Source organism: Homo sapiens, chromosome 7 (genome assembly GCF_000001405.40).
Source record: "Homo sapiens chromosome 7, GRCh38.p14 Primary Assembly".
NCBI classification, from domain to species: domain Eukaryota; kingdom Metazoa; phylum Chordata; class Mammalia; order Primates; family Hominidae; genus Homo; species Homo sapiens.
The window spans coordinates 3,708,285-3,720,704 of record NC_000007.14 but is presented as its reverse complement, the minus strand read 5'-3'; the positions used below and the strand labels follow the sequence as shown (position 1 = coordinate 3,720,704).

At 39.8% G+C, this 12,420-nt stretch overlaps 1 protein-coding gene across 1 annotated transcript in view, besides 2 other annotated features; it reads right to left on the bottom strand.

The window, feature by feature from the left end:
- Positions 1-12,420, bottom strand: part of SDK1 (sidekick cell adhesion molecule 1) — a 967,749-nt gene that overhangs the window by 548,296 nt on the left and 407,033 nt on the right. The window lies entirely within an intron of this gene.
- Positions 7,167-7,666: an enhancer, noted in NCBI's record as "NANOG-H3K4me1 hESC enhancer chr7:3752671-3753170 (GRCh37/hg19 assembly coordinates)". NCBI's record gives its function as "activates a minimal SCP1, AML or CMV promoter by ChIP-STARR-seq in naive H9 embryonic stem cells {active_cell/tissue: H9 hESC(naive)}" and the evidence as "EXISTENCE:reporter gene assay evidence [ECO:0000049][PMID:30033119]".
- Positions 7,667-8,168: an enhancer, noted in NCBI's record as "NANOG-H3K4me1 hESC enhancer chr7:3752169-3752670 (GRCh37/hg19 assembly coordinates)". NCBI's record gives its function as "activates a minimal SCP1, AML or CMV promoter by ChIP-STARR-seq in naive H9 embryonic stem cells {active_cell/tissue: H9 hESC(naive)}" and the evidence as "EXISTENCE:reporter gene assay evidence [ECO:0000049][PMID:30033119]".

Sequence of the window (12,420 nt, the reverse complement as noted above, 5' to 3'; positions counted from 1 at the left end):
ATGGGTCACAGAGTAAGTTGGGAAGAAATTCTCAACTCCCTATTTTCTAGAGTGGCTGTACCAGGTTACATTCCCACTAACAATATATGAGTGATCCAGTTTCTCTGCATTCTCACGCCATTATCTGGTGCTATCAACTTTTTTATTTTATCCATTCTGATGGGTTTGTAGTGATATCTCCTTGTGGTTTCAGTTTATATTTTCCTGGTGGCTAGTAAAGTTGAATATCTTTATACATGTTTGTTTGCCATTTGTATATCCTCTTTGGTGAAATATCTGTGTATGTATTTTGCACATTTTCTGATAGGTTTTTAATGTTGAGTTCTAAGAGTAGTCTATATATTCAATATATTCTAGTATATTCTAGTTCTTCATCAGGTACGTGGTTTACAAATTTTTTTTCCATGTCTGCAGTTTTTGTTTTTATACTTTTTTTGTTGTTGTTTTTTGACACAGAGTCTCGCTCTGTCGCCCAGGCTGGAGTGCAATGGCACAATCTTGCCTCAATGCAACCTCCACCTCTCTGGTTCAAGCAATTCCCCTCCCTCAGCCTCCCGAGTGGCTGGTTTTTATACTCTTAATAAGGTCATTCATAAAAGTTTTTAATTGTGATAAGATTTTATTTTTGTAAATCGTACCTTTGGTATCATCAAATTTAAAAACTCTTCTCTTAGTCTTAGATCCCAAAGATACTCTGAGTTTTCCTTTTCTTTCTTTTTTTTTTTTTAAGAGATGGAGTCTTGTTCTGTCACCAGACTGGGGTGCAGTGGCACGATCTCGGCTCACTGCAACTTCCGCCTCCCGGGTTCAAGCAATTCTCTTGCCTCAGTCTCCTGAGTAGCTTGGACTTCAGGCACGCACCACCACACCCAGCTAATTTTTGTAGTTTTAGTAGAGACGGGGTTTCACCATGTTGGCCAGGATGGTCTCAATCTCTTCACCTCATGATCCACCCACCTCAGCCTCCCAGACTGCTGGGATTACAGGCGTGAGCCACCACACCCGGACTCCTAAAAGTTTTAAAGTTTTACAGTTTTTATTTTATGTGATACTTTTTTGAGTTTTCTTTTTAATGAAATATGAACTTTAGGTCAAGGTTCCACCCACTTTTGTCCTAAATGTCCAAGTGCTCCAGCTACAATTATTGTAAAGGCCACCTTTTCTTCACTGAGTCACTTCTGCACCTTTGTCAAAAATTAGTTGGGCATATTCGTGTGGGTCTGTTTCTGGGTTCTCTGTCTTGTCCTACTGACCTATGTCTCTTTTCCTTTGCCAGTACCACACAGTCACGATTACTGTCAGGATACAGTAAGCGTTAACACTGGAAACAATGATTCCTCCTACTTTTTTCTTCTTTTTCAGAGTTGTTTTAGTTATTATAGGTCCTGTGCTATGCCATCTACATTTCAGAATGAGACTGTCTAGGTCTAGTACCTATATTTAAAAAAAAAAAAAAAAAACCTTTCTGGGTTTTCTGATCCCCAAAGTCTCTCTGATTTTTTAGGTCTTTGATTTCTTCCATTTCTCAGCATTTTGTAAATTTCAAAATAGTTTCTATTCTTGTTAGATTTATCCCCAAATGAAATACAGACTTGGGTATACCTATAATATAGATTTGGGTATATCTACAAACAAGATTTGTTCCCAGGACTTAGGCATTAGGATGAAAAGCAAGGAACAATTATAAATGGCATTGTATTATTGTATTTTTAATTTGGTTTCCACGCGTTATTATATAGAAACGTGATGGATTTTTATGTGTTGATTTTGTATACTGCAAGCTTGCTGGAATCACTTATTAGCTTGGGACTTTTTTGTAAATTCCTTTGGATTTTCAATGAAGACAATAATGTCATCCACAAATAAGAACACTTTTATTCCTCCTTTCAAACTTGGATGCCTTTTTTTTTCCTACCTTATTGTACTGGTTAGGTACTCTGTTAAGAGTGGGAGAGCGGTCATTCTTGCCTGGTTCCCAACTTTGGGGAAAAAGCATTCACCTTCTCACCACTAAGTGTATTAGTTGTAAGTTTCTGTACATACTCTTTACGAAGTTGATGAAGCTACTCCCTATAACTAGATTGCTGAGAATTTTTAGCATGAATGAGTGTTAGATATTTATTTATTTATTTATTTATTTATTTATTTATTTATTTATTTATTTATTTATTTATTTATTTATTGAGATACAGTTTTGCTTTGTCACCCAGGCTGGAGTGCAGTGGTGCAAACATGGCTCACTGCAGCCTCAACCTCCGGGCCTCAACCTCCGGGGCTCAAGCGATCCTCCCACCTTAGGCCCACCATGTATCTGGAACTACAGGCACCTGGCACCACAGCTGGCCAATTTATTATTTTTATTATTTTTTTGAGACAGGGTTTCACCATGTCACCCAGGCTGGTCTCCAACTTCTGAGCCCAAGTGATTCCACCCATCTCGGCCTTTGAAAGTGCTGGGATCACAGGGATGAGCCACCGCAACCAGCTGAGTGTTGGATTTTATCAAACGCTTTTTCTGTGTCAATGGATATGCTCATAAAGTTTCTTCTCTGGACTGCTGTTAGTATGACTTACATGAGTTGATTTTCAAATATGAAGCCAGCCTTGCATGCCTGGAATAACACCCACTTGGTTACGGTGTCTAATTCTTCCTGTACTTTGCTGGATTCAGTTTGCCATTACTGTGTTGAGAATTTTTGCACCTATATTCATGAGACATAAAGGTTTACAGTTTTTTTTTTTTTTAAATGCTGTCTTTGGCTGTTCCAGGTATCAGAATAATACTGGCCTCACAACATGAATTGGGAAGTGTTTCCTACTCTTAATTTAATAAACAAAACCCTGTAAAACTGATTTAAATTCTTCTTTAAATGTGTGGCAAATTTCTCAAGTCAAATGATCTCTGCCAGGATATCAAGTGGGGAGGGTTTAACTGCAAATTAAGTTTCTCTAAGGGCTTTAAGACTATTCAGGTTATATATCTATAGGTTGAGTTTTTGGCACTTTGTAGTTTTTGAGCATTTGGTCCAGCTAATCTAAGTTTTCAACTTTATGGGCATAAACCTGCTGTAGTATTTTCCTATCATTCTTTTAAAGGCTACAGTAACCATAGTGATAGGTCATTTCATTTACAACATTAGTGATTTGTGTCTTTTCTCTTATTATCTGCTTTTTCTAGGTTCTTAGGTGGGAGCTTAAATTATTGATTTGAGACTTCCCTCTTTCTAATATACACATTTAATGCTATAAATTTTCCTCTCAGCATGCCCTTAGTTGCATCTGCCAAATTATGGTGTTTTGCATTTTGATTTTTCATTCAGTTCAGTGTTTCCTTTATTCCCTTTAAGATACTTTCTTTGACACATGGATTATTTAGAAGTTGTTTAATATCCACATGTTTAAAGTTTTCCTGTTATCTCTCTGTTAATTTCTAGTTTGATTCCTTTATTTTTACAGAACATACTATGCATTTCTATTCTTTAAAATTCATTGAGATTTTATGAACCAGGATATGGTCTATTTCGGTCAATTAGTTCCTCTAATTGTTATAAGAGGCATCTATAACCTATCACAGCCTACTTGTATCCTCATTCCACTCCTTCAAAGGAAGGACTGAAATCTTTTTCCCTTCCCCACTTTTAAAATCTAATAGTCTTAAGTATTTCTGCTACATACATTTAACACTGCTTGAGATGGAATTAAATTTTTTTTCTTCAAACTTCAAATATAATTTAGGAAACTCATGAAGTGAAAAGTAGTGTATTTTATTTACCCCTATTATCCACTTATTTGTTCTTCTTTCTTTTCTGTAGTTGCAAGCCTTCTTCTCTGATCATTTTCTTCTTTCTGTTTGGAGGACCTCATTTAACTATTATAGCAACACATTATCTGATTTTTCCTTAGTTTGATTTTTCCTTTTTCTTTTTTTTTTTTCTTTTTTTTTGGTGAGACAGGGTCTCACTTTGTCACCCAGGCTGAAGTGCAATGGCGCCGTAATAGCTCACTGCAGCACTGACCTCCTGGGCTCAAGCAGTTCTCCACCTCAGCCTCCTGAGTAGCTGGGACTACAGGGGTGTGCACCACGCCTGGCTAATTTTTTGATTTGTTTGTAGCAATGGGGTCTCACTACCTTGCCCAGGCTGGCCTCAAATTCCTGGCCTCAAGCAATCCTCCCTCATCAATGTCCCTCAAAGTGGTGGGATTACAGGTCTGATATTACACGTGATAACACGTGGCCTCCCCTCATACTTGAATGATATTTTTGCCAAATACAGAATTCATGGTTGACAGATTTTTTTCAGAGTTCTAATTTTTCCTTAGCTTTCAGAAATTACTTATTTTCAACACAGAAGTTTAAGTGTCTTCAAATTGATTTCTTAGGGTCTATTGTGATTCATTCAGCTTCTTGAATCTGTAGGCTTGTGGAGTTTTTTTTTTCCCCCAATTTAGAAAGCTTTCACCTATTATTTCTTTGAATGCTTTTTCAGTCCCAATTTTCTTTCTCATCTCCTACTAGAACTCCAATAAAATTAAAGTTAGATCTTTGGTTACAGCCTCACAGGAGCCTCTGTTCATTTTTTTTTTTTTTTTGTCTACCTTTTTCATTGTTGGTCAGACTGAGCAAATTCTATTGATCTATCCTCATATTCACCGATCTATCTTTGTCTTCTCCACTTTATTACTGAGCTAATCCTGCTAGTTTTTAATTCTGGTTATGGAATGTTTCAATTCACTCACTTTCACTTTTTAAATAATTTCTTCTTCTTTGCTGAGATTTTTCTATTTCTTCATTTGTTCAAGGAGAATGAATAGTTTGCTGCTGACGCCCTTTTATGATGGCTGCTTTAAAATCCTTGTCTGGTAATTGCAACAGCTGACTCACTTCAATTTTGGCCTCAGTTGATTGTGTCTTCTCATTCAAGTTGTGATTTTTCCTTGTTCTTTGTATGTTCAGTAATTTTCCATTCTCTGTGGACGTTTTCGATATTATGTTAAGACTCCTTGTCCTATTTAAATCTTTTATTTTAGATGGCAGTTGCCTGATGGGTTTAGGGTATAGGACTTTGCCTACTTTTTTGGGCTGTAGTTCCAATGATAATGTGTTTTTCAGAGCTGTCCTGGTCTCCTTTGTTCTGTAGGGTCTGGGGATCCTTCTCTATCCCTGCTATTGCCTCCTGTGGGACAGAACGCACTTCCCTGGGCTTCCCTGCATCACCAGGTAGAAGGTGAGGGGTGTCTGGTTCGGTAGGCTGAGAGGATATCTTTGGGCTATCAGTTGCTGGTGGCTCTGTCAGTCTTGACTAGTGCCACCTGAGGAGGGAAGAACCTACGTAGCCTACCTTCTCCCACTGTAAACGGATCGGAAAATGCTGGGTCAAATATATTTTGATTTAATAAAATTTCTGGTAAGTGGATACATACATGAATTTATATATAGTCTGCAGCTCATCTGCAAAAAGTAAAATAAAACCTTAAATTTACAATTACATTTGTACAATTTATGACGATCTAGTATATTTGTGAACAGGGTGATTTAGTATCTCTCACTAAATAAGCTAATTATATGTGCAATTATTTTGGAATATAGTGAACAATAAGGACAATTACAACCTTAGCATTTAACAGATTTTAAGCCATCATTGGAGAAGCTGAGGCATCTGAGAGATGAGTATTCTCTCTACTTGATTCTTCATTTATTTTTTACTTAATTGAGTTTTAATGCTACATAATATTGAATCACAACTTAAAATATGAGAATTACCATCAATCTAAGCCCACATTGCATTCTCTCAAAGCACATTTTAAAATCTAAAAATTGGTGTCATTTATTAATTTCATTGTAATTTGCACTTAATTAGAACCTCTCCAAGCTTGACACTTACACACAAAATGACTCATTCTGGCACAAGTGGGAAATGAACCGTCCTACAAAAGCAAATCTCCCAGATACTTGACACTCAACGCTTCAAGCATGGAAACTTGTTTTAGAAGCACTTTTGAGAGAAAATAAGTGTCTTGAAATTAATTACACAGCAGTTCTGTACCTGCTTCAATAAAGTGTATTAAACGACATTTAAACTTTGAAGGCCTCAGGACCATTTTCAGATGTTGTGTACTGTGTTACAATGTAGTAATGCTAATATCACCACTTACATAAGATGTAACAAAATGCAAAGCACTTAAAGGACTGATGTGAAATGAGCAAATGGGATAAACTTATTATTCTTAATTTAAGAGGAAACTGAGACTCTGGAAGGGCGAATAACTAGTTCATATTTAAACAGGTAATTGACAGGTTGAAAAGAGAGTAAAAAAGATAATAACATCCCTATGGTACTTCTATCATTCTAAAGCTCCTTTCACAAATATTTAATTCTAAGAATAGTAATGATTTTCCTTCATATTTTACAATAAGGAAGTTCAGAGATTTTAAGCAACGGGTCTGGCTACACAAGGAGTGATCAAGGCCTCTACCTCCTGGTCTATCTGCAGCCTCTGAGTTTTTCCCGTCCCTCTGAGTCTAAGTCCAGAGCTCTTTCTGTTGCCCTGGATGTGCACCATGGCGTCAACGTGTTGTTGTTTTGAATTCCTGGCTCCATACTTTAAACGCTTCCTCCTTTGCTGTCAGGCAGCCGGCTCACGACTTGCTGCCGTCTGCACACCTGCCTCTCAAAATGTTTCTCATCTGATATTTCGATGTTTGTGGGCTGAGATGAAACAGTCTTTGAATTAGGGTCTGAGGTGCTCTCTCTTTTAAATAAAGTCATGAATTAATATAATGTTCATTTTGGCAGTGGAAAGCCTGATTTGCTGATTCCTGACTCTCGGTTTTGTTTTTAATCACTATGATTACTTGATATAGGACTTGTCAACAAGTGAGGGGCTGTGACTATAATACCTTAACATTAGCAAATCACATGTATTTAATCAATTAAATATTAAATTGTTGAATGGTTTTCCTTTTGAAGGGAGTACATTCTCCACATGAAATCTCTAGTCCAGGTTCTATGATCAGTGATCAAATACTGTGACAGAAAGCTGTAGAAAGGTATCTGATGACGGATGGGATCTTATTCTAACAGAACTGACGTATTCTTGAAAAGCCTCTTTTCTGTACTCTCAGGTATAAATACTGAAGTCTAGACCAGGCCTAATTCAATGGTAAAAGACAGAAAAGCCAGTGCTGCGGGTGGGGGAGAGACATATCTAAGACACTCAAGGCAAGAATGAAGCCATTCCCGTGGGAAGCAAAGGGAAAATGTGTAGCAGTCATCTTTTCCCCTCTCTCCACCTTTCTTTTTTGAAGTCCTTACTTAGTTTTAAGTTCTTTGTAGGCTCTTTCTTTCTTTTCTTGAGGAATAGGATTTCTGTAAGCATGGAAAGACAAACAACCCCAATTGTACTTTATCACAACACAGAGCCTGAGCTCCCAGACGACTTGGAAGGAGAAAGATCATTATCCTTCTTATCCTAACAAAGGAAGACAATGTCTTCATCATCCATCAATTCGCTGAGCAGCCGGACTCAGCTTTGAAGGAAGTGCTTATCTCAGGGGTGTGCTGGCAGAGGGTTCCTGGTGCCTTCAGCCTGCTCCCCGCTGTGCAAGATCTGCTTCTCCAGGGACGCAGCACCTGCCTCCTGGCACCCTGCCATGCCCCAGCCACATGGGCACGCCTTGGTGCCCATCCCCTTAAGACAAGCTTGTGGCCAACAGCAATCAGCATTCCTGGGTGTCAGGCATATGGGTTTGCAGCTCACAGAAGCTTTCAGGGAACAGTGCACTAACCAAAGGAGAGAATCCAATGGCACCACTGAAGGTCCAAGGGGTCTATATTGTGGGGGCACCTGGGCCAAGTCGCAGGGCCATTCCTTGTTTATTTAGCCACATTTAGACTCTGCTCCTTTAGGAAGACTTTTCTGACCCTTTCCTCAGAATGAACTTCTTTCCTAGGTGAACAGGTATACTCTTGTACCCATTTCTCTAACAAGGTAACTACTGCCCAGTAAATGTCTGTTCATATGCCCACTGCCATGCGCTTCAGGAAGGCAGTGAAATGTCCTATCCATCTTTAAAACAACATGACAATATCGTTATAATGCTGTAGAGCAGCAGTCCCCAACCTTCTTGGCACCAGGGACCAGTTTCATGAAAAACAATTTATCCACAGACCAGAGGGTTGGGGGATGGTTTTGGAATGATTCAAGTGCATTACATTTATTGTGTACTTTAATTCTATTATTATTACACTGTAATACATAATGAAATCGTTATACAACTCACCATAACGCAGAATCAGTGGAAGCTCTGAACTTGTTTTCTTACAACTAGACAGTCCCATCTGGGGGTGATGGGAGACAGTGACAGATCATCAGGCATTAGATTCTCATAAGTAGCGTGCAACCTAGGACCCTCACACGCACAGTTCACAATAAGGTTCACGGTCCTATGAGAATCATATGCTGCCACTGATCTGACAGGAGGTGGGGCTCAGGCAGGAATGCAAGTGATGGGGAATGGCTGTAAATACAGATGAGACTTCGCTCACTTGCCCACCCTGCGCCTCCTGCTGTGCAGCCTGGTTCCTAACAGGCCATGGACTGGCCTGGTTCCTACCCAAGGGTTGCGGACCTCTGCTGTAGAGCATTTGCTTTTCTCCAAGCACTGGATTAACCGTTTCACATGCATGTTCTTATGGAACTGTCACACCAACCCTACTGTGTAGATGCCATCATTAATCTTGTTCACTAATGTGGAAACTGGGCTTTAGACAAAGTAACTTGCCCGCACAGGAAAACAGCCACAGAGATGTTTCCCCTGGAAGTCTACCATGGCAGGGCTCCTCCCTGGTCTCCCAGGAGTCAAATCAAAAGATCACAACGCCCCCAGCTTCCAGGCATACAGAAGCTCCCCACTGTACTCAGAATGGGAAGAACCTCAATGGCCTCCAGGGCCTGCAGGATCTGGTTCCTGCCTAACTCTCCCACCCTGCCTTGACCCTTTGCCTGGCTTATGATACTACAGCCACAGTCATTTTCTTCCTGTTTCTTGACCAAACAGCTTTTCTGCTTTGGGCTCTTTGAACATGTCAACTCCATGGCCTGAAATGCTCTGAGCCCTGGTACCAGCAGCATCTCTGGCTCCTTCTTATACTTAGGAAGCTATGCAAATGTCACCTCCCTAGAGCAGCCTTCCCGATCACCCACCAAAGCAAACTATCACCTCCATGACCTGAGTCATTGTTTCCTTCATAGAATTCACAGCCATCTATCATCATCTTGTTTATTCATTTGTTTACTTGGAACTACCTGTCTCTCCCAGGTAAATTTTACGAGGTCAGAGGCCTTACTTGTCTCCTGATGTATCCCTGAAGTGTGAGCCCAGGACTCAACACATATTTAGTTACAAAACTAATCCTTAATAGCAAAGATAATGGTTAGCACAGTCTCCAAAATTAAAGAAGATTATTCTCACTTTAAAGAGAAGAAGAGATCTGCAAAAATATTTAGAAATACTTTTATGTGGTTTAGAAAAGTCAAATCATACTGTTTCCTGTGATTAAAGTGTGTCAACTTTCTTAAATAAGACAATTCAAACTTTTGGATACGAAACTATTTTCCTTTCTGAAAAATAATATAAGTTGCCATCAAATTATACCTTATGAATACACAAAAGAACATCCTGAGAGTTTCCTGGGAATAAAATTTAATTGTAAAGTTTGAAACTGATATACATGTAAAGAAAAGCTTTCAAATACACTTTGTATTTTAGAGAAAAATCTTTGTATTACTGCCTGAAGCCACAGTAATAAAGATATCAACCAGGTATTTGTTAATGATGCAACATTCAATATACTATAAAATAAGGTAATCTGAAGATAGGAACAATCAAATGCCAAAGCAAACATCCTGAAGGAATTTTCCAAGACATACACGGAGGTTGGCTGCCAAGATTGTTGGCCCATTAGCCTCTCTGCTGGTTTCCCAATCATCCAGGAGCCCCTTTAGGTCAAGTGATAACACAACTGTGGTTAAATTAATGGCAAGAGTAATTTACGAGAGTGTCGAAGCACACACACAATGTTTGCCTTAGATTTCACCGTTCTGTTTTAGCACAGGAGATAAAACAGTACATAAAGACTTGTTTTAACTACGAGAAACTACACTGTCAAGCATGAAAACAGGAGATTTTTCCCTAAGCAGCTTGTTTCTATATCAAAAGTAGAAATGTCCCTAATGACATTAGTCCTTAATAATTCCAATATGAGAACTTTAATAAAGAATAACCAGATTTGAGCAATGGCTTTTTTCCCAGTCTCATTAAAATAACATGAAACAACAGAATAACCAGTCAACAAGAAAGTTACTAAGTGTGTGTTCAGTATGTGAGGATCTCACGCCCACCTAATCATTCTGGAGGGTGCAGAGGAATGTAACATGAACCCTCTTTATAACAAATACAGGCAAGAAAACAAAATGTACACATGTGGGACAGCAGCATAATTAACTGCTGCATGTTACTGGCTCTAAGTACCACCAGATCTGTCAGTGAAAAATGAGAGGAGAATCAATTCTCTGTCCTGAAGCAGCTTAAAACATAAAAGGTTTGTGAACAACATGTGAGGTTTAATTAGGAATGTTTACAGAGTTTTAATAAAATCTCTGATTTTTTTTCCTTTATAGTCAAGTAATATGTCAAATAATTTCAGAAACTATGAAATGATGAAAAGATATAAAAGCAGAGAGAACATTTAAGTCTCGGGGCACCTGGCACGTGCTTTGCTCCTGTGAGCTCACACAAAGCCCATCTTGCAGCTGGGGCCAGGACCCCTGTGTGGGCCTTGATGACAAACAGCAGGAGGAGAGAGCCTACAGCTTCTACCCTTTGGTGGGCCAAGTTCCCTTTGATATTAGAAGTTTGGTTCATCTTGCAAAGTACCTAGGCAAATGTTTCAAAAGCCCAATTTCAAGAAAAGGATTTTACTTTAAAAATAGGAAAACTTCTTTTTTTCAATATGGTGGATTGGAGGCAGTGTTAGCATGCGTCTCCCCCTTGGAAAGAAAAAATAGTCTGCAGAGACACACCATTAACTTTCTTCCAAGAAACAATGAAGGAATTTAACAGAAAAATGGAAAGAAACCACAGACCCTTTGAAAGAAGCAGCAGGCTGCAGCCTACACCATGAGCCAGGTGAAGAACTGTGAGTATGACAGTGGGACGGACTGCCTCCAGGGAACCTGGCAATCCAGTCCACAGAGAAAGCCTTAACCCTACCTAGTGCTGAACCTGATACAGGGAGGGGTGGGGAATATTAAGTAGGAGCAGCAGAAGGAAGGGCCTTGCATGCATGCCCAGTCTCCAGCATGGATGGAGGGAAACCATTCCTGACTTCTATCAGCAGACTTCTCAGGAGAAACCTTACAAGCCCAAAGGATGTGGGGTCCTATCTTGAGGCTCCTTAAACAGAATAACTGTCAGCCAAGAATTTTGTATCCAGCAGAACTAAGTTTCATAATTGAAGGAGAAATAAAGTAATTTTCAGACAAATAAATGCTGAGAGAATTTGTCACTACCAGGCCAGCCCTACAAGAAATGCTAAAAGGAGTTCTGAATTCTGAAACAAAAGGTTGTTATGCACCATAATAGAACTTCTTGAAAGCATAATAGCCACAGGGCCTATAAAACAATAATGCAATAAATAAAATAAAGTATCTAGGCAACAATTAACATGATGGCTGGAAGAGTATCATGAATGCAGTATTAACATTAAATGTAAATGGCCTAAGTGCTTCACTTAAATATTAACACTGAATGTAAATGGCCTAAATGCTCCACTTAAAAGATACACATGGGCAGAATAGATAGAAAATACAAACCAAATATCTGATGTCTTCAAGAGACTCACTTGACATGTAAGGTAATAGAGTTTGGATATGTGCCCCTGCCCAAATCTCGTTTCAAACTGTAATTTCCAATGTTGAATGGAGGGCCTGGTGGGAGGTAACTGGACCTTGGAGGTATGGAGGGCCTGGTGGGAGGTAACTGGACCTTGGAGGTATGGAGGGCCTGGTGGGAGGTAACTGGACCTTGGAGGTATGGAGGGCCTGGTGGGAGGTAACTGGACCTTGGAGGTATGGAGGGCCTGGTGGGAGGTAACTGGACCTTGGAGGTATGGAGGGCCTGGTGGGAGGTAACTGGACCTTGGAGGTATGGAGGGCCTGGTGGGAGGTAACTGGACCTTGGAGGTATGGAGGGCCTGGTGGGAGGTAACTGGACCTTGGAGGTATGGAGGGCCTGGTGGGAGGTAACTGGACCTTGGAGGTATGGAGGGCCTGGTGGGAGGTAACTGGACCTTGGAGGTATGGAGGGCCTGGTGGGAGGTAACTGGACCTTGGAGGTATGGAGGGCCTGGTGGGAGGTAA